The sequence below is a fragment of the Homo sapiens genome, chromosome 1, assembly GCF_000001405.40.
Source record: "Homo sapiens chromosome 1, GRCh38.p14 Primary Assembly".
Lineage (NCBI taxonomy): Eukaryota > Metazoa > Chordata > Mammalia > Primates > Hominidae > Homo > Homo sapiens.
The window spans coordinates 210261627-210282625 of NC_000001.11; the positions used below are offsets into that span (position 1 = coordinate 210261627).

At 44.6% G+C, this 20999-nt stretch overlaps 1 pseudogene, besides 3 other annotated features; it reads right to left on the reverse strand.

The window, feature by feature from the left end:
• Positions 1 to 3810: 3810 nt before the first annotated feature.
• ST13P19 (ST13, Hsp70 interacting protein pseudogene 19) lies at positions 3811 to 5696 on the reverse strand (annotated as a pseudogene).
• Positions 3998 to 4292: an enhancer, noted in NCBI's record as "tiled region #1241; HepG2 Activating non-DNase unmatched - State 7:EnhWF". NCBI's record gives its function as "activates a minimal TATA promoter and a strong SV40 promoter by Sharpr-MPRA in HepG2 cells {active_cell/tissue: HepG2}" and the evidence as "EXISTENCE:reporter gene assay evidence [ECO:0000049][PMID:27701403]".
• Positions 3998 to 4771: a biological region, named in NCBI's record as "Sharpr-MPRA regulatory region 1241".
• Positions 4166 to 4771: an enhancer, noted in NCBI's record as "H3K4me1 hESC enhancer chr1:210439137-210439742 (GRCh37/hg19 assembly coordinates)". NCBI's record gives its function as "activates a minimal SCP1, AML or CMV promoter by ChIP-STARR-seq in primed H9 embryonic stem cells {active_cell/tissue: H9 hESC(primed)}" and the evidence as "EXISTENCE:reporter gene assay evidence [ECO:0000049][PMID:30033119]".

Genomic DNA, 20999 nt, shown 5'->3' on the forward strand with positions numbered 1-20999 from the left:
TAATCACAGATGCTCACACACAGGCTACGGTCCTAGCCAAGCCACGGCCATCTTATTGCTCAAAACTTTCCTCCTCTAGGAACCATCCCTAACACTGATCCACTGTAAATATAAGTCCTTTAGTATATGATGTCCCCACATTGCATAAAACTCACTGAACCTGCTTACATGCCAATTCTGTATGAGTTTGATTATTTCGTTTACTACAGTCCTGCCTTTCCCACCAGACTAGGGATCCCAGGGTTAGGGGGCTATCTACTAGGTATCCCCAAGTGCAGGATTGAGTTCTTCCCCCATCAAACTAGGGGTCTCTAATGGCAGGAACCAGTCTCCCCTATCAGATGAAGCTCCCAAGCACAGGAGTCCTGTAACCTGGAAGACAATCATGTCATCTTCTCTTTACTTCTGCCTTTGCCTTCAGTGCCCAACTTAGGTCCAAGGGAAAGTGTAGGTATGGATCTTGTTCTCCTAACTACCCCGCACCTGGGCTGGGTGAAGGGGTGAGATTTGTTCCTGTGACTCCCTTTCAAAGCAGTTCTGATTTTTCCAGTCTGCCTGGGCCTCCAGGCTGCAGAGTGGACTGACTCGTGCTTAATGAAGCACATTCTCCATCTGTGGTCTGCCCCTCCTGGCAGCTCCAGCTGCCTGGGGCCTGGCTTTGGGGGAAGCAGTAAAGAAGTTCCTTCATCTCAGGCTGCCCCCCACTACAGACACACCAAGGGATCCACTCCCCCAGGCCAGCCCCACCCCACCCATGTTAGGCTAATGAGACCCAGACCCCACACCAGAGCTGTCCTGATTGGGTTGACCTATTTAATTAAAACAGCAGCTTCCAAAAACGGAGGTTCTGCTCCAAGGCTCTGCCCCTGGCCTCAAAGACAGACTCTGGCTGTCTCTGGCCAGCTTGGACTTTGGCACTCCTTCTCAGACCCCGACTTTCTTCTCTCCCTCCCTCCTTCCTTCTCCTCATTTTTCCAACATCTGTGTCCAGAAAGGAAGAAAAACCGTGTTTGGACTGGCCTCCTTCCATCAGTCATTTTTTTCCACTTTCAAACATCTTGTCTAAAGCAGAGTCAGTTACATAAACATTCCACCTCTTTCCATAAATTGGCCGCAGTTACTGAACAATAGCGTTACTGTGCAGGGGAAGAGGGAGCTCAAGGCCACACCCCACAAGTGCTGGTCCCCCAGCCAAATAGAACCAGAGACTCATTCTTTGAAAGAACCAAAGAGGAAATCCAGAATCTTCGGGCGAGACCTTTTCTGCTGTGCTTGGAGTGGTTCCTTTACCAAAGCCCCTCTCTGCTCTGCCCTCCCGGCAGCCATCTTCCATCTCTTAACTTCAAGCTGTTTGAACGGATGCCCAATTTCTGCTTTTTCCTTAACTGCCTGACAGTGTGTGTCACTGTGTGTCCCTGTCCTGAGGGCAGAGTGTGTGGATGATGGAGTTGGTGGTGGTGGTGATGTGTGCCTGTGTGTGTGTGCGTGTGTGTCTTTTGGCAAGATTTTTGGAGGCACGCCCTCAAGATTTTGTTGCCTTTTCTTAAATAGAAGCAGTTAGACCTCACTAATTCAGACCAGTTGGAGAAAAGTCCACAGGGGAAAAAAAGTCTGACTTAACAGAACACAGTTCTTCTTAGGCCCTCTCCCTTCTCCCAAGTGCATCCAGTTACTGGAACTGGACTAACCACATTGGCAGATACAGTTTTGCCAGACTTGCTCCGTGAATAGGTAAAGACCACTTTTTCCATTATCTTGAGTACCTAATTAAATGTGTGGGCCACTCAAGGTGTGAAAATGCGTTTTTTTTTCTTTTCATAGTAGGTCAGATATCTTCAACACTTATATAGTACTTGTCATTGGCTTAGTGAACTGTCTTCTTAGCCAGACTGTATGCTCTTTAAGGACAAGTTCTATATCTGAATCCATTCACTATCCAGTGCCTATTGTAGCTCCAAGCACATAGTAAGTGTGCAAAATAAATGTTGAATAATGGATGGATGGATGGATAAATGGATGGATAGATGAAATTAGTGAAGTGGGAATAGAGGGGTGGAGAAAGAGCCTTGGCAGGGGAAGTTTGAAGGAAGCTTCTATTGACCTCCTTCTGATGAGGAGCAGAAGTAGCAGAGAGCGATGTTAGAGCAAGAGCAAGTAACAGACAGCATTGCCATCAGCTCTCACAGCAAGTGGCAGGAGAAGGGGGAGGCAGAGATGGTTGGAGCTGGGGCTGGGGAAGTGAGTGGTAAAGCAGGAGTAGGAAGGCTATGATTGAATGGGGTTGGTGGGAAGATGTAATTGTGTGAATGGGTCTATGAGCAGCTCTGGTGCTAGAGGCAGATGTGGGTGTGGTAAAAAGAGATTGCTATGGGTAAACTAAGTTGAAAAGGTGCTGTATCAGTTAAGCTGCTTTTGGCTGCAAGTAATAGAAAATTTAGTTCAGTTGGCTTATACTAGTCATTCTCAACTGGGGGCAATTTTACTCCCCAGGGGACATTTCACAAGGTCTGAAGACATTTGTGGTTGTCACAACTGGGATGTGGGGGATAGTCATACTGGTATCTAGTGGGTAGTGGCCAGTGATGCTTCTCAACATACCACAATGCACAGGACCACACATAATGCACAGCTGCCCACAACAAAGTATTATGTGGCCCAAAGTGTCAGTGGTGATGTTGAGAAACCCTGGCTTAAACCAATAAGAAACAATTTATTGTTCCATACAATCAGCAGTTTCAAGGGTGGTCATTTTATGTGTTCATTGAGGAGGTGGGTTCTCCCCACCAGGAGCCTTTGCCTCTGCCATGTATTCGGCCTTTGTTCCCTCAGGGCCACAAGAGACTACAGTGGCTCCAAGTATCACATCCTCACCCAAGAGCATCTTCCTGTCCCTTTATAAAACTCAAATTCCTTTCATGTCTCACTAGCCTTGTGTTTCATGCCTATTCCTCAATCAATCCTGGGCGAGGGGATTGCCATGATTAATTTAATTGACATCCCTCACCCCTATCCCCACACTGACACTGGGGTGTGGAATGTGAAACATGAAGAAAATGTATATTCTGTTAAAAAGAAAATGTATCTTCTGGAGAAAGAAGAGGGTGCTGTGTGGTTCACAACAGGCTCTCCCCAGTGTATTGGGTTCATGAAACTGAGAAATGCAGTCCTGGGCCTCAAGGCTGGAACTTGCTGCTCTGTTACTCACTTTGGATTCACACCTTCGTTCATTCATTCCATAAGCAATAGATATTTACGGAATGCCTGTGCGTGGTGTAAGGGACATAACAGACATGTGGTTCCTGCCGACCTGGAGCTTTCAGTCTTGTAAGGGAGACACTAATCAAATAGTCTCATGGATGATGTGCAATTAAAGACAGAGACAGGCTGGGATTTAAAAGCACATGGAGCAGTGACAGTATATTACAGAAGACATTACAAAGAAGGTGAGGGAGAGTCAGGAAGGGTTTCCTTGGTTGAGCTAAGATCTGAAGAATGCATGAAAATTAGCTTGGTAAAAGACAGGGGGCAGAAGAGATTTCCCGAGAATAGTAACCATGTCTGCACATCCCTCTGTGGGGAGAAGCTCAGTGCAATCCAGGAACTGTCACAGTGGAGTGCAGAGCAGAGATCCAGGGGAGGACAGCAGGGATTTTGAGAGGTTAGGCAAGGGCCGAATCTCGTAGGGTTTGCTCATGTTAAGGATTTTTGTCTTGGTCTTACGAGCAAGGAAAATTCATTCAGGTGTCCCAAACAAGGATCTTTTTTTTTTTTAAGTGTTTAAAGTTTGTAATTCCTAGTAGGAAAACATTATCTGAACGAATACCCTAATGGCAAACCACTGTACATGCTTCAGCTGCACTGGGGGAGAGGGGTAGGGGATTATCTTCAAAGCACCCCAGCTCTCTTGATGAGAAGGTCAGAGGTACACTGGTTTGTATCATTGCGACATCCATAAGGTGATGTAGGTTGCTTTCCCTTCAGCAAGGGCTTTATTTATCAGAAGGACATTATGCTTGACCTCCAAATTTGGCTGACAATTTACTGATAAGATTCATAAACTTTGGGTTGTTCTGGTATTGTGACATATTTGCTAGGTGCTGAGCCACATCCTGGAAGGCTGCCATAACTTCTGGATCCTGCATGGCTGCAAGAACCTCTGGATGACCAAGAATTTCATTGATTCCAGGCATTCTGGCCATTCATTCCAGGCATGCCCCCTCCCATTCCAGGCATTCCTCCGGGAAAATTACCAGGCATTCCCCCAGGAAAGCCACCTGGAAAAGAGCCATACTGAGCTCCTGACTGTCGTCTGGCTTCTTCCTCCCTCTGGGCTCTCTCATGCTCTTCTCGAGCCTTCTTAACTCTTTCTATTCTTTCTTTGATCTCTCGCTCTTCACGTTTTCGCTCATACTTTCTCCAGTGTTCTGCAATTGTGCCCTAGGTTGAACTTCTTTTAGCATTGCACTAACATCTTCATCATAATCCAATTTACAGGCAAGAGCAAGATCATGGGCTGCTTCTTCTCAGTGGCCTATAAGTCTGTGTGCTTTCCCGCCGGGCGCGGTGGCTCACGCCTGTAATCCCAGCACTTAGGGAGGCCGAGATGGGCGGATCACGAGGTCAGGAGATCGAGACCATCCTGGCTAACATGGTGAAACCCCGTCTCTACTTAAAATACAAAAAATTAGCCGGGGGTAGTGGCCGGCGCCTGTAGTCCCAGCTACTTGGGAGGCTGAGGCAGGAGAATGGCATGAACCCGAGAGGCGGAGGTTGCAGTGAGCAGAGATTGCGCCACTGCACTCCAGCCTGGGCGACAAAGCGAGACTCTGTCTCAAACAAAACAAAACAAAACAAAAAACAAAAAAATTAGCCCGGGGTGATGGCGGGCGCCTGTAGTCTCAGCTATTCCGGAGGCTCAGGCAGGAGAATGGCGTGAACCCGGGAGGTGGAGCTTGCAGTGAGTCAAGATTGCGCCACTGCACTCCAGCCTGGGCTACAGAGCAAGACTCCGTCTCAAAAAAAAAAAAAAAAAAAAAAGAAGTTTGTGTGCTTTCCCTCGCCACTTGTAAGGCTGAGCTGAATCGGGATTTATTTCAATGGCTCTGTCACAGTCTCAGATGGCAGCATTTGGCTTCTGTAATTTGACGAAGACACTGGCCCTCTTGGCATACAAAATGGCCAAGCAAGGATTCAGCTTGATGGCATCTGTGAATAAGTCAATGGCTTTCTGCAGTTTACCATCATTTAGGGCTCAATGGCAGCCACTTTCTTATCATTTGCCTGATCCCTCATCTCCTCTGTTATCTCTGCATTTTCATCTCCCATTTCTTGAGGGGCATCAGTGTCTGGTTCAATCACACCTTCATTATCAATTTCTAGATCACTTTCCTCACTTGGTTCGTCTGCCTTTAAGTCTTCCTCCACCTTCTTACTATCAGGTTTTTCTTCCTTGGTATTTTCTTCTGATTTAGCTTTCTGAGTAGCAGGTGGTACTTTACCCGCCATGCTCTCCACCCACTCTCTCAGGAAGCGCATTTCCTTGGTGTATGGAACACTCAGATCCTGTTTACACATTTTCACAAAGGCCCGAAGTTCATTCGCTTTGTGGGGGTCCGTGGTCCGGAGGCGGTCGGCGAAGCTGAGGGGCTGCAGCCCGGTTCCAGGCTCTGGCTCCGCGTGACCGCGCAGAAACGGGCTTTTTTTTTCTTTTTTTGAAACAGAGTCTCGCTCTATCACTCAGGCTGGAGTGCAATGGTGCGATCTCGGCTCACTGCAGCCTCCACCTCCTGGGTTCAAGAGAGTCTCCTGCCTCAGCCTCCCGAGTAGCTGGGATTACAGGCACAGGCCACCACGCCCAGCTAATTTCCAAATAAGGATCATTTTGATTGCAGTGTGAAGAACAAAGTGGAGAGAAGCAGGCTAGATTTGGGAAGACAAGAAACTACTGCAGGGGTGCAAGCAGGTGAGGTGGGATGGTGGGTTGGATCAGGGCGAAGGTGGGAATGTAGAGAGGTTGTGAGATTTAAGATACATTTGGCCAGACACCGTGGCTCAGGCCTGGAGTCCCAGTACTTCGGGAGGCCAAGGCAGGTAGACTGCTTGAGGCCAGGAGTTTGAGACCAGCCTGGCCAACATGGCAAAACCCTGTCTCTACTAAAAATACAAAAATTAGCCAGGTGTGGTGGCACGTGCTGTAATCCCAGCTCCTCAGGAGGCTGAGGCAGGAGAATTGCTTGAACCTGGGAGGTGAAGATTGCAGTGAGCTGAGATCATGCCACTGTACTCCAGCCTGGGAGACAGAGCAAGACTCTGTCTCAAAAAAAAAAAAAAAAAAAAAAAAAAAGAGAGACATTTAAAAGGTAAAATTGACCAAATTTATTGATGGATTTCTTGTGGACCAGTGGGGAAAAGAAAGGGTTAAGGACGGATTCCTAAATTTCTGGATTCAGAAAATGGTTGGAAGGTAGAGCCATTTATTAAGAAAGAAAACAGTGGAAAAGGATCAGAACTCTGGGAAAATTAGAGTTCAGTTTTCGTCGTGGTGAGATCACAGCTCCCTTGAGACATCCAAGTGGAGATGCTGAGCAGGCAATTCGATATATGGATCCAGAGATCAAAGGAGAAGACTGCGTTGAAAATATACATTTAGAGAATATCGGCATACAGATGGTATAGTGGGTGTCTATCACCAAGTAACAAATTACCTCAACACTTGGTGACTTCAAACAACAGCCATTTATTATCTCTTACGGTTTTGTTGTATTGAGACTTTGGACAGTGCATGGAGGGGATGACTTTGTTCTACAGTGTCTGAGGTCTCAGCTGGGAGACTCAATGGCTGGGACCTGAAACTATGTATATTTTTTTCTTTCTTTTATTTTATTTATTTATTTATTTATTTTTATTATTATTTTTTTTTTGAGACAGAGTCTCACTCTGTCGCCCAGGCTGGAGTGCAGTGGTGCGATCTCGGCTCACTGCAAGCTCCACCTCCTGGGATCAAGTGATTGGTTCTTCAGCCTCAGCCTCCCGAGTAGCTGGGACTACAGGTGCCCGCCAGCATACCCAGCTAATTTTTTGTGTTTTTAGTAGAGACGGGGTTTCACCATATTGGCTAGGCTGGTCTTGAACTCTTGACCTCGTGATCTGCCCACCTTGGCCTCCCGAAGTGCTGGGATTACAGGCGTGAGCCACCACGCCTGGCCTATATGATATTAATGTTGGCTGCTGGCTGAGAGCTTAGCTAGAGTCGTTGGCTGCCAACACCCACATATGGCCTCTCTACGTGGCCTGGGCTTCCTCAGCACAGGATGGATTGCTTCTAAAATCAAGAAACCCAAGAGAGAGATCCAAGTGGAAACTGAATTCTTCAAATGACCTAACCTCTGAATTCATACAGCGTTACTTCCATTTGACCAAAGAAGTCATAAGCTGCCAGGAAGATTCAAGGGGAGGAAACTTAGACCCTACTTCTTGGTGGAAGAGTGTCAGTTATGTTTTAAGAGGAGTATGTGGGATGGGATAAATATATAGGTGTGACCATTCTTGGACAATACTATGAGCCACAGATGGTGGTAACAAATAAGGTGTCCCAAACAAAAACAATATGGATGAGAAGAGGAGAGTGTCTAGGATGGAGATTTGGAGTTATCTTACATTATAAAGAAGAAGAGTCTAAAAAAAAAAGGCAGAGAAGAAGCAGACAGGGAGTAGAAGGAAAACCAGAGAGCATGGCGTCGCAGAAGCCACGGAAAGAAAGTTCACTCATTTATTCACTGAGTATTTATCAGGCACCTACTGTATTTATCAGGCACTTATACCAGACTGTTCTAGGTTCTGGGACTGTACTAATGAATGCAAAATTCCTTGACTTCATGATTATTACATTCTAGAAGAGAACTATCCAGTTAGTTGAAGACTGAAAAAAAAATGTGCCTTGGACATAGTCACTTGAAGGTCAATGGTGATCTTCATGAAAATGGCTTTTATAAGAAATGGGGACCAAGCATGATGGCTCATGCCTATAATCCCAGCACTTTGGGAGGCTGAGGCAGGAGGACTGCTTGAGCCCAGGAGTTTGAGATCAGTCTGGGCAACATAGCAAGACCACATCTCTATAAAAAGTAACAAAAAATTAGCCAGGCATGGTGACGTGTGCCTGTGGTCCCAGCTAGTTGGGAGGCTGAAGCAGGAGGATAGCTTGAGTCTTGGAGGTCGAGGCCATAGTGAGCAGAGATCATGCCACTGCACTCCAGCCTGGATGACAAAGTGAGACCCTGTCTCAAGAAAAGAAAAGAAATGGAACAGAAGCCAGATTGGGTGGGTTGAGGAATCAATTGGAGATGGGGAGTATAAAAAATGGATTGGGGAGGTAAAGGCAGCTATGGGGCTCTGAGGATAAAGACAAAACCCCTGACAGGGCATTTCCACTTCTCTGTAGCATGTCCTATTATCAGGCTGCATTGGAAGGGGCTGAAGCCCCACTGTGACTGGCAAGGGACCTGCATCATTTTTTTCTGCGCTCCGCTCAGCATTGTTCAGGAGTAACCAAGAATGTGCTGCCTTGTGCAGTTCCAGCCTCCAACCCTTAGTCACAGCTCTGTCATCTCCTGCACCTTCATGGATTCTTTCCTGGATTGTTTCTTTGTTGCTGCTAAACTCCGTCCTGAGCTTGCAGCCCAGATTCTAGCCACGTTGATCTCCTCACAAGCTATGCCTGAACTCCCCTCCTTCCTTCTATCTATCCCTTTCACTATTTGAGTTCACTTCAAAACTCCTTCTCCATGAAGAAGGACCCACGCCAGCCCTCATGGATGCTCTTACCCACTGAAGGCTGCACTGAGCTCAGCTCTGCACCATGCACGGTTCTGGCTGGCCTGTGATGTTTGCGTCTTAATCTCCCACACCACAGGTAACTTATTTGAAAGCAGACCAGGGTGGAGATGTTTCCTATGTCTTTACAGTGTCCCCGAGGCAAGCTCGATATTGGACTAAGTAAATAGCAGGGGCCCAATATCTGTTGCATCTGTTGAATGACTTGATGCAGAGCCTACCTGAGCCCTCCCACACTTGCCCCAGACGACCTGCTCTGTGAGCCTGTAGCAGTAGCTGAATACAGGATAGGAATGGGGGCTGCTTTTCTCAAGACTCTGCTTGCAGAGCTCCTGGGGAATAAACAGCAGGAGAGGCCCTCTCTCTACTCAAGAATCTGAGTTCAATCTGGGGATAGAGGAAGAGGGTTATAGTTCCCCATCCCCATAAGCACCCCCAGATAAATCAAAGAGAACACACCAGCCCACAGCAGTAGCTGAACAAGCCCATTTAGGTATGGCAAATAGATAACAGAATAAAAGACTGACTGAGGCAGGATGATCTTCTCTGGTAGAGTTTTATCCAAGTGAAAGGTCTTAAGCTTGATGTGGGAGACATACAAATGCCACTTGTTAGCCATACCACCTTGTACAAATCACATAAACCCCTCTGAGCCTCCGTTTCCCAACCTTTTTTTTTTTTAGAAGCTGAGTCTTGCTATGTTACCTTGGCTGGACTAGTGGTGGACTCACTGCAGCCTCAAAATCCTAGGCTAAAGGGATCCTCCTGCTCAGCCTCCTGAGTCACTGGATTACAGACATGAGCCACCGTGTCCAGCTCCCAAGTTTTCTAATCTTTAAAATTGGAATAATAATACCCACCACAGGCTGGACATGGCGGCTCACACCTGTAATCCCAGCACTTTGGGAGGCTGAGGAGAGAGGATTGCTTGAGCCCAGGAGTTTGAGATCAGCCTAGGGAACAAAGCGAGACTCTGTCTCTACAAATAATAATAATAATAATAATACCTACCACATAGAATTGCTAGGAGAAGTAAATGAGATAATGTACAGTTGGTCCTGTTAGTTGTGACCTCTGTATTTGCAAATTTGCCTACTCACAAAAATGTATTTGTAACCCTCAAATCAATATTTACAATGTTTTTGGGGTCATTTGCAGACATGCACAGAGCAGCAGAAATTCAAATCACGTTCCCAGCTGAGGCTGGATAAGGCATGCTCTTCCTTCTTCTTTCAGCCCTCATGCTGTAAACAAATGCCCTTTTTGCAGTCTATTTAGTGCCATGGTTTTGGCATTTTTTGTGCTTTTTCTTGGTGATTTCACTGTCTAAAATGGTCCCCAAGCATAGCACTGAAGTGGTGTCTCCTGCTCCTAAGCACAAGAAGACTGTGATGAGATTTACTGAGAAAAGAAGTCTGTTAGATAAGCTTTGTTCAGGCCGAAATGATAGTGTTGTGGGCTGTGAGTTCAATGTTAATGAATCAATGATACATACTTCATAGAAGCTCATAAAACAAGGCTATGTATTGATTGGTTAATGAAAATGTTCTGACCAGAGGTTCGAGGTCTGCAGTGATTTTGTAGGGCGTAAGTACCCTAAGTAATGAGAATGGGCAGTATGTAGAAGTGCCTATATAGTGCATGGTGTAGACGAGACGCATTGAGAAGTGCTGACTCCTGAACTTGGTGAGAAGATGGCAGAAAGCACTCCAAGCAGTTTCTTTCCATGGTTGTTTGTGCTTTGCCGGGAATTTGGATCCTGTAAGAGTCAAACAATTTTTGCTCATAAGTTTCTGTCCCTTTGCATCCATTGAGGTACAGAGTTAAAAAAAAAAAAAAAAGTTTCTGTCTTATTTCTCTTGTATCCTGTGGGCGACTCATGTTTCTGCCCCAGACAGGGAGCTTAGGCAGGGGCTGAGTCTCCAAAAGGACTATGTCTCTTGCCTTCTTTGTGTTTTCTACCCTCCTTCTTGTTTGACACCCAGAGGTCCCAACTATCTTGTGTTTCAGTGGTTACTCTCACTGTGGTTCATCCTGGGGTGGGTGGAGGAGCAAAAGCCCTGTCTGGATCCCCGTTCCCCTGCAGGGTGACAGAGAAGTCTCTAAGCCCCGGCCATGGGGGAAAATGTGGGGGCGGGGGAAGGGGGACCCTGACCACCAGCTTTCCCCCCATAGGAAAGGCCCTCCCCTATTGGGCTACTGTCTTTTCCCAGGTGGGGACGAAAGCAGCAAGAACTAAGAAAAAGGAGTAGAGGTTTTCTCCACACATGGGTCTGATTAGACTCTCATTCCTGAGGCTCTCTGGGCTTGAACACTTTCTCTCCAGGAAGCCAGACAGCCAGTTAGAGAAAATCTGCAAACCTGCACTGAGGCCAGGCTTCAGGAGGCAGCCCCGGGTGGGATGGAAGGGACGGGAGGGCTGTGGGCACTTGATCTTTATCACAGCCCTCAGCCTCCCGGCCTCCTGCCAGCTCCCATAGCCCCTGGCCAGGATCCTCCAAGAATTCAGAGCCTGAGGATTGTGTTACCTTCTGAATTCCATTAGCACAGGCCAGCTGGGGGCGGGGATGGGGGCTGGCTAGGGCTTACCTGAGGAGTCGTTTGGTGCCAAGCAGGCGCCTTGGGTCACTTGTTTCTGCCTTTCCAGCTTTGATTCCCCCTTTGCCTTCATTCTCTCACGTTCTCTGCAGGGAAGGACATGAATTGTGTATATGTTAATATAAACAAAAAAAGATAGGGGTTTTTCAGATGTTCATAGGGAAGAGAAGTTAACGATGATACTAATAATAGCAAAACTGTGTGCCAGACACTGTTCTAATTGCTTATATGTATACAGTCCTGCATTGTTTAACAAAGGGGATATGTTCTGAGAAATGTGTCATTAGGCGATTTCATTGTTAGGCGATTTCACCATTGTGTAAACATCATAGAGTGTACTTGCACAAACCTAGATGGTAGAGCCTACTACACACCTAGGGTGCATGGTATAGCCTATCTCTCTTAGGCTACAAACCTGTACAGAATGTTACTGTACTGAATACCATAGGCGATTGTAACATAGGCAATGGTAAGCTCTAGAATGCCACAGGCAATTGTAAGTGTTTTTTGTATGTAAACTTATCTAAACATAGAAAAGGCATAGTAAAAATACAGTATAAAAGATAAATGATGGTAGACTTGTATAGGGTACTCACTGTGAAAGGAGCTTGCAGGACTGGAAGTTGCTCTGGGTGAGTCAGTGAACGAGTGGTGAGTGAATGTGAGGGCCTAAGACTGTGCACTACTGTAGACTTTATAAGCACTGTACACCTAGGTTGCAATAAATTTATAAACAATATTTTTCTTTCATCAATAACAAATTAACCTTAGCTTGCTGTAACTTTTTTACCTAATAAACTTTGAAAAATTTTAAAACCTTTTTGACTCCTTTGTATTAACACTTAGCTTAAAACACACATTGTACGGCTATACACAAATTTTTCTTTGTATATTTGTTTCCTTATGTCATTATTCTATATGCTTTTTTCTATTTTTATATAACTTTTTTGTTAAAAACTAAAACACAAACATACACATTAGCCTAGGTCTACACAGGGTCAAGAACCACCTCCATATCTTGTCCAACTGGAAAGTTTTTTGTTTTTGTTTTTTTTGTTTGTTTGTTTGTTTTTTGAGACAGAGTTTTGCCCTGTTGCCCAGGCTGGAGTGCAGTGGTGTGACCTCAGCTCACTGCAACCTCTGCCTCCCAGGCTCAGGCAATCCTCCCACATCAACCTCCCAAGTAGCTGGGACTACAGGCCTGTGCCACCACACTGGCCTAATTTTTGTGTAATTTGTAGAGATAGGTGTCTCACCATGTTGCTCAGGCTGGTCTCAAATTCCTGGGCTCAAACAATCCACCCACCTTGGCCTCCCAAAGTGCCAGGATTATAGGCATAAGCCACCACGCCCGGCCCCATTGGAAGGTCTTTGGGGGCAATAGTTGTCTCCTGTGATAACAATGCCTTCTTCTGTAATATCTCCTGAAGGACCTCCCTAAGGCTGTTTTACAGTTAGCTATTTTAAAATAAGTATAAGGTGCATACTCTAAAATAATGATAAATAGTATCGTAAATACATAAACCACTAACATAGTTGTTTATTATCATTATCAGTTATTATGTATTGTACATCGTTGTATGCTTTTATACTAGTAGGTTTGTTTACACCAGCACATGAGTAATGCATTGCGCTACAATGTTACATCGGCTACCATGTCACTAAGTGATAGGAATTTTTCATCTCCATTATAATCTTATGGGACTACCCTCATATATATGGGTGGGTCATATATCCTTGACCAAAACATCATTCTTTATGTGGTGCATGACTCTATTAGCACATTTAAAAATCAAAATATCTCTATTTTACAGATGAGGAGATTGAGGCAGAACTGTGTTGGACTACAGTTTCTTCATAACCTTAAAGAAGTTAGACAAAATGAATCTAAAGTAACTTCCGGCAGAGCGCGGCCGAATGATCTCCGCTCACTGCAATGCTAGGCTCATGCTTGTAATCCTAGCACTTTGGGAGGCTTAGGCAGGCGGATCCCTTGAGCCCAGGAGTTCAAGAGAGCCCAGGAGTTCGAGACCAGCCTGGGCAACATGGCGAAACCCCATCTCTACCAAAAACACAAAGATTAGCCAGCCATGATGGCGAATGCCTGTAGTCCCAACTACTTGGGAGGCTGAGGTGAAAGGATTGCTTGAGTCTGGGAGGCGGGTATTGCAGTGAGCTGAGATGACACCACTGCACTCCAGACTGGACAACAAGCCAGATCCTGTCTCAAAAAAAAAAAAAAAGAGTAACTTTCATGTTCATTTTTCATTTGTTTTTCTTTTTCTTGGTCTCTTTCCATAACAAGAAGGAGGAAAAGGAAACAGAAAGAAGAATTTATTTAATCTTTACTACACTGGGCTCTATAACAATGGCAGCAAACTGTGTTTTCAAGAGCCAGAAAGTAAATATTTTAGGCTTTGTGATCCATACAATGTCTGTCATAACTATTCAGCTCTGTCATTGTAGCACCAAAGCAGCCAGATACAATATGTGGACCAGCCTGTGTAGCTGTACTTCAATAAAACTTCACTTAACTAAACAGGCAGAGGGCTGGATTTGGCCCTCTGACCTGTTGCTTTATAAGATTACCCAGGCAGGGGTCCTGCCCTCAGAAAGCTCACCTTCTGCTCCAGGCTTCACTGTGAGATATATGAAGGTGACTGACATATTCCATTTGTTCGTGCAAAACTACATATACATGTGGACACACACACATGCTCATACACACATGCACATAGTGTTCCCCAGCTTTACATGTATTTACACACACCACAGGCCTCTTTTACACATTGCCTGGTGGTTTACATCTCCAAAAGGAATAGTCCTGCTGGGCATTCACGATGTTCTAAGCCCTATGATCAGTGATTTTCATGTTTTCTCAGGTCACCCTTCCCACAGTTTCGTCCATAGGAATTTTGGTCCCTGTATTAGTTTGTTAGGGCTACCATAACAGAGTACCACAAACTGGGTGGATTAAACAACAGAAATGTATTTTCTCACAATTCTGGAGGCTAGAAGCTTGAGAACAAGTTGTCAGTAGGAGCCAGGCGTGGTGGCTCATACCTGTAATTCCAGCACTTTGGGAGGCGAAGGTGGGGAAATCATTTGAGCCCAGGAATTCGAGACGAGCCTGGGCAGCAAAGTGAGACCCTGCCTCTACAAAAACATTTTAAAAATTGTCTGGGTGTGGTGGTCTGCACCTGTAGTCCCAGCTACTTGGGAGGCTGAGGTGGGAGGATCACTTGAGCCCAGGAGTTTGAGGCCACAGTGAGCTACGATCACACCACTGTATTCCAGCCTGGGCAACAGAGTGAAACTCCATCTTAAAATAACTAACTAAACAAGGCTGGGTGCAGTGGCTCATGCCTGTAATTCCAGCACTTTGAAAGGCTGAGGTGGGTGAATTCACTTAAGCCCAGGAGTTCAAGACCAGCCTGGCAAACATGGTGAAAACCCATCTCTCCTAAAAATACAAAAATTAGGCCAGTGTGGTTGCACACGCCTGTAGTTCCAGCTACTTGGGAGGCTGAGGCAGGAGGATCACTTGATCCTGGGAGGCAGACGTTGCAGTGATCTGATGGAGTGAGACCCTGTCTCAATAAATATAAATTAATTAATTAATTAATTAATGGTGTCAGCAGGGTTGGATTCTCCTGAGGTTTCTCTTCTTGGCTTGTGGATGGCCTTTTCCTCTTTGTATCTTCATATGGTTTTCTCTCTCTGTGTCTGCTATGGTCTGAATGTTTGTGTTTCCCCAAAATTCATGTTCCTATCCTAATCCCCAGTGTGATGGTATTAGGATGTAGGGCTTTTAGGAGGTGATTAAGTCACGAGGGCAGAGCCCTCGTGAATGGAATTAGTTCCCTTATACAAGAAACCCCATCCCTTCCACCATATGAAGACACAGCAAGAAGGTGCCATCTATGGTGAAAGGGACCTCACCAGACACTGAATTTTCTGGAGACTTGATCATGGACTTCCTACCCTCCAGAACTGTGAGAAATAAATATTTGATCTCGATAAGCCACCTAGCCTTGTGGTATTTTGTTATAGCAGCCCAAACGGACTGAGACAGTGTCTGTGTCCTTATCTCCTTTTGTTATAAGGACACCTGTCATGTTGCATTAGGGCCTACCCATATGATCTCATTTTAAATGACCCTTTTAAAGACCCTGTCTCCAAATGGTGCCATTCTAAGGTACTGGGGGACAGGGCCGCAACACATAAATTTCTGGGGGATACGAGTCAACCCACAACAATCCCATTTACAGAAAAGATAACAGAAAAGACACTGAGAGGCCAAGTAATTGGCCCATGGTCACAGAGCAATTTGATTGCCTGACTTCAAAGCCCATGTTGCTGCATGTATTAGTAGTTCATTCCTGTTTATTGTTGAGTAGTATTCTATTGGATGCATACATTATGTTTTCTTCTTATGCATTAATTTTTTTAATTTTTTTTATTTTTTGGAGATGGAGTTTCACTCTTGTCATCCAGGCTGGAGTGCAATGGTCTGATCTCAGCTCACTGCAACCTTTGCCTCCCAGGTTCAAGCAATTCTCCTGCCTCAGCCTCCCAAGTACCTGGGATTACAGGTATGCACCACCACATCCGGATAATTTTTGTATCATTAGTAGAGATGGGGTTTCACCATGTAGGCCAGGCTGGTCTTGAACTCCTGACTTCAGGTGATCCACCCGCCTCAGCCACCCAAAGTGCTGGGATTACTGGTGTGCACCACCTTGCGCCCAGCCATGCATTTTTAAATTGATGAACATTTATGTTATTTCCAGACTATTAGGAATAAAGTCACTGTGAGCATTATTATACCAGTCTTTTTGTGGCTGTAACTCTAATTTCTCTTGCCTAAATACCTAGGAGTCTAATTGCTGAGTGATAGAATAGGTGAAACATTTAACTTTGTAAGAAACTGCCAAACAGTTTTCCAAAGTGCTTATTCTATTTTCACTTTTATCAGCAATGTATGAGATATCTGGTTGTTCCTTGTCATCATCAACATGGAGTTGTTTTTCCCTTTGCTATTGAGTTGGAGTTCGTGTGTGTGTGTGTGTGTGTGTGTGTGTGTGTGTGTGTGTGTGTGTGTGATCCTTTGTTGAAGAGATTGATTTCCGGTATGATGATTTGGGAAGCTCCAGTGAAAATGATGAAAATCACTTTTTTAAAACCCCAAACACTTAAAGGCTCTGGAAACATGCCTAAGGGCATACAGCAAATGAAGAAATATCTATTAAAGAAAATCTACAAATATCTGGTAAGAAAAATGATAATCTATTGTATATGAACAATTGTTTCTTTGTAGAAATTGACAAGCGAATTCTCAAATTCATAAGGATTTGCAGAGGACCCAGAATAGCTATAACAATCTTGAGAAAGAATCTTGGCTGGGTGTGGTGGCTCACACCTGTAATCCCAGCACTTTGAGAGACTGAGGTGGGCGGGTCAAAAAAAAAAAATACAGGTCACAAAGACTTTGCTGCTAAAACAGGCTGCGGTAAAGAATCCAGGCAAAACCCACCAAAACCAAGAGGGCAATAAAAGTGACCTCTGGTTGTCCTCATTGCTCATTATACGCTAATTATAATGCATTTTAATGCTAAAAGACACTCCTCCCAGCACCATAACAGTTTACAAATGCCATGGCAACATCAGGAAGTTACCCTATATGGTCTAAAAAGGGTAGAAACCTTCAGTTTTGGGATTTGCCTACCCCTTTCCCTGAAAACTCATGAATAATCCACCCCTTGTTTAGCATATAATCAAGAAATAACCATAAAAATAGCCAACCAGCAGCTCTCAGGGCTTCTCTGCCTATGGAGTAGCCATTCTTTATTCCTTTATTTTCCTAATCAACTTGCTTTCACTTTACTCTATGGATTTGCCTCGAATTGTTTCTTGCACAAGATCCAAGAATGCTCTCTTGGGGTCTAGATCAGGACCCCTTTCCTGTAACACAGGATAAGTGCTCTCCCCTCTCTCTGTGGGACGAGGGCCCACTGAGTACTTTTCCTAGAGGGAGGTAAGGAAACAAAGGATTTTCCTTAGGGAAATGGCCCAAACACCTTGTGGGCCATAACCAAACGTTGGTAAGTACACTCTGATGGTACTTATAGAACCTGACACAGGGTTTCACTAGCTAAGGAATTATTTTGGTTCCACCCATAGTGGAAACAATAGAAGTAACCCTGTTGTGATTGGCAGTCCCAAGGGGGCCTTGTGTCTTTGGATGGAATTTATAGATGGCTCTTTGCTGACCAGAGTTCATCATAATGGGTAGGGGAAGGGCTGAGTGCATAAGACTGGCGTTGGTTGAGTCTTTGAACCAGTAAAATGGCTCCCTTTAGATGTGGGAGCCTGACAACCAAAATTAGTGACTGAAGCATAAGTTTCAAATCATCAAGGTTTATTAAGCCAGCTTGAGGGTGCGCCCAGGAAAAATGAGAGTCACAGACACATCTGCAGCTCTTTTTTTCCAAAGAGGTTCTCAGGAGGTTTGATATTTATACATTTTCCTTAAAAAAGGAATGGGAGCAGTGAGAGGAATTACTACATATTTGTCAGACTTTAGTTAGTGCCCAGGAAATCTACATTTTACATAATAAAAGGTGAACATTTGAAGAGAAGAGGAATAGAGGAAGCAGATGTCTCAGAGAAGGGTGAAGAAGCGACTAATCTCATCTCGTCTTTGTTCTATACCTGGGAAGATAAGTTAGTCATTGACATTATCAGCGTGGAGTCTTTCGAAAGAGCTGGTTTCTGTGTAGCCCTTAGGGAAGAAAGCCTAATGGCAGTTATCAAGGGAGCAGATGTAATGAGGTATGTCCAACCTTCTATAGCATCATGGCCAGGACTTAGCTTCCAAGGTTTCTCTGGGGTCCCCTTGGCCAAGAGGGGATCACTTCAGTCAGCTAGGGCCTTGGAATTTTATTTTTTATTTCTCAGGTCTCAGTAAGGCAACCTGGGGAAGAGTCATTCCCCACCTGGGGATTCTTGAAGACACATGTTAGATATAAATGAGGCTTGGTGAGAAGGGGGGATGACAGGAGTCTTGGGGACCTGCCTGGGTATCATCTTTCCTACTCTGAACTTGTCCGTGTGAGGAAGCACCCAAGGACCAACACGGAGATGATATCTGCCTTTAGGTCCCTCAGCCCAGATCCACGGTGGAGGCAGAATTAATTAAGGTGTGAGTTGGTGACTCCCTCCCCGCATTTCCCCATCATCCTGTCTCTCCTTTGCCCAAGACAAAGCCCTCTTTTAAAGGCTAGGAGCTTCTGCTACTATGAGAATGTGAGAGGAGAAAGGAAGAAACCAGTCAGGCAGGCAGTTAGGGTGGGTCCTCAGTTAAATTCTTTCAAACAAAAGAACAGCCTGAAAAATCAAGCTGCAGGCAAAGATGAGGAAATTTGCACAGGGGGTCGTGCCTAAGACATTCCCACAGCTGCACAGATAAGAACAACTGCACAGGTGACTTGCCCAGATGTGCTTGCAATGGAAAATTCCGTCCTTTAACACATATGCGTAAGGGGAACAAAACAATATGGAGTAACTCAAGCTAAGGGCTCCCATGCGCATTAGGAGAATGAGGTGGAGCTACCAGAAATTTGTGCCTTATGTACATGAGAGGCCTAGCCCTTATCAGTTTCTTATAAAAGGCTTTATATTCAACTATAAAAATGGCAACCCATTCGGGACCCCTCTCTGCTGTGGAGAGCTTTCTTCTTTCGCTTATTAAACTTTCACTCCAACTTCATCCTTTGTGTTCATGCTCCTTAATTCTCTTGGTTGTGAGACAAAGAACTTGGGGTGATACCTCACAATGAGAGACTGCTACATTGTGGTACATTGCTGAGACTGTAACAAAAGCAGCCTTTGCTTACTACATATTTCATCAAGAGGAACTTACATATTTATTATAAGGTTTTTACTTTTAAGGACTGAATCCCAGTATCATGTCTCTGCTCAGTGCTACAGGAAAGCAAGTGGCATCCAGGCAGAGCCTGTGGAGATCTATCACTGTGGGGCCAATTTAACCTGCAGTAAAGAGGCTTGTGCATTTGAGCTTTATAGTAACAGCCTTCAAATGCTAGTTCCATGTCCATGGAACACAAATGACCATGTGTCTGAGAAAGAGTTTGGGCATGCAATGTAGCAGCTTCATGTGAGGAATTGTATTTGTCAAACTAAGGCAGCCTAAACTGTTGGAACTTATGCTTGATTTAAGGGAGTTGATGATGTAGGCAGGGGAGACAACCCAGAGAGCTCATCTGCAGTCCACAGACCTCCTAAAGAATCCATAAGTGGAGCTCTGTCTCAATATAATTGGTTTCCTAGGTAATCCTATACATTTTATCTTATGTATTTAAAGACACTATTCAGAGAAGGGGTCCATAGGCTTTACTAGTTTGTCAAAGTCATCTATGGCACCAAAAAGACTCAAAGAATAAGAACCTAGTACCTCTCTCTCCTTTCTCCTCTCTTTTCCCTTTTCTTTTCTCCATCTCCTTTCTCAGTTTTTATAGCAGGGCAATTATAAGACAAAAAAGCCCGCTGTTACTAACACTGATCCCTCTTCACAGCATACTTTTGATATGTTTGTTTAAAAATCTACATTCCTATCAGGAGAGGAGTGGGGAAAGACAAAGGAGATGACCTAATTTTTAGTTTCTAGTGAGGAAGGGATCCATTGTGTGGTTTATTTATACCCAGTTCCCTCCAGAAAAGCCTTGGGACAAATATAAACATTTCAACATATGTAAACCTATGTTTTAGGCATTAAACAGCAGGAGAGAGAGCAGGGAGTGATCCTGGGGTGCTTGCACAGACCTTGCTCAGCTGTGGAAATCAGCATTAGCATTTGGCTCTATTCCAAAAAGCTCCTTCATCACCTTCAGAGCATATCTCAGAATCTAATAATAATTTAAGTGAGTATTTTTGTCAAACTTTAAAAGCTTGGCACGTTCTGTCCTTTAATATCTTCCCTCAGAAAAGGAAAGCTGCTTAATAAGTCTCAATGGCAATGGATGGAATCATTAATCAAGAGGAAGAAAGTTTTTTTTAATAGTCATTTGACTTAATTCATCTTAATTTGTCTCCAAAATATTTTCCTAGGGAGGAATTGGACAATTCAAGTCTTTTTTGGTCATCAGCATTGATAAGGCTTTGGTCCTCAGGTAGTAGTGGGGTCATTGTAGGAAAGTTCCAGCTTCCAATTCTTTATGTAGTTTGGTTTTTTTGAATGTTGGTCAAAAACAAGATGGTGCAACTTTATCAGACGTTTTCAGAAATCATTAGGAATAAAAATTCCATTACGATCCCAAAATATGTATTAGTCCTATAGCAGACACAATTCATTGCCCACTCCCCATAGTCATTTTTCCTTCCCTTTCCCTCCATTCCTTTCCCTGGGCACATGACTACCCAGCTAAAGACCACATTTCCAGCCTCTTTTGCAGCACAAGATGGACACATAACTAAGTCTTGGCCAGTGAGATGTGAGCAGAAGTGGTACGTGTACTTTCTAGGTCATTCCTTTAGCAAAAGAATGTGTC